Here is a 1,452-nt window from a genome sequence, read left to right on the forward strand (position 1 = left end):
GAAGATGATCATCAGGTAAAGAGAGTTCTTTGATTTTGGTGAAACATTATATAACTGGTCACCAGATTTTTTGGAATGGAGTGCCCTTGGAGCTTTAAAAAAAAAAGAGAAAGTAGAGAACATGCTATTAACTTCAGACTAGGGACATTTGAAGTCAAATTTAACCACAAAGTAAATATTTTCTTGGTCTGCAATTAAACATGTTGGCTCTTATTAACATTATTGCTTCTTAAAAGGTGTGTGTGTGTATGTTTTCTAAAATTTATTTACTAGAAAATTTTCAGTGGAAAGACAAAGCACATCTACCCTGGCAAAGTAGCCCATGGCTGATCAAAATTCAGTTTAAGTAGATTTATAGGTTCCCCACAGTTTCATTGACAACTGAATCATTCTTCTCTCTGGAATGTTACTTTTCTTTTTGAATTGTCATGATATCAAGAAGGAATGAATAAGGTGAAATCGCTGCCTGTCAGTAATGAATAGGATTTTTCAAAAGGAGTTTGGAAATTTTCCCTAGACAGTTGGAAAAATGAGAGGATTGATATTGAAGCAATCAAGTAAGCATTATATGTGTGTATGTGTGTGTGTGTGTGTGTGTGTGTACTTTTTCCTTGTACTATCAAAAAATGTATGTTTTTATGTTTTCATCCAGTTTCAAATTGTATCTTTCCATATTGAAAGGTCCTCTGTCATCCCCAAGCCTTCAGTCAAGTGTACCATGTAGTCACAATCCTTGTGTCAATGGAATTCTGGACAATTCACTGATGAGGATATGAAAGGGAGTTTTGAAGCAATGTCCTGGTAGCAGCATCTTGTCAAATGAATATAGTCTTAGAGACATAGGCAGTTACCAGGTAAAAGAGTTGGAAGCAGAGCTGAGAGCAGTAAGAAGACAAGTCCGGACTGTAAGTGAAACAGACCATTTGGTGGAATGAAGCCTTAGAGGCTTGTACAGTGGTAGATAGTAACCTATCAGGAAGATAGAGCAGTTACAAATTAGATATGAAGAACAGTGCCTAAAGGATAAAGCAAATACTTTGTTCAGATGCTCTATCTTGTTCTTCCCCATTGATTACATCTACGGTGCTGATATCACTGTCTCTTATTATTTCTTTATGTATATTCTGGTTCCCAGATTTAGCCACTTTGAATACTCTCAGGTAGAGAAATTAGGAAACATGTCTATAAACAACTTTGCTGTTTCCCTGCACGCTTTCTCCACTTTCTTAAGAGTGCTCATTGCGAAGTATTGCTCAAAATTTAGCTACCCTAAGTATGCCCAGTGAATTAAGACTAGGAGGTTTCGTTTGTGAAATCAAATTGCTCTGTCTTTATATGATCTTTTACCTTTTTATCTTATCAGATAATGTGTTAGCAAAGTGCTGCAATAATGAAATATCAATATGTATTTATGGATCTCACTGAGAAACCTTAAATGAACCCAAGCAGTAC

Source organism: Homo sapiens, chromosome 21 (genome assembly GCF_000001405.40).
Source record: "Homo sapiens chromosome 21, GRCh38.p14 Primary Assembly".
NCBI lineage: Eukaryota > Metazoa > Chordata > Mammalia > Primates > Hominidae > Homo > Homo sapiens.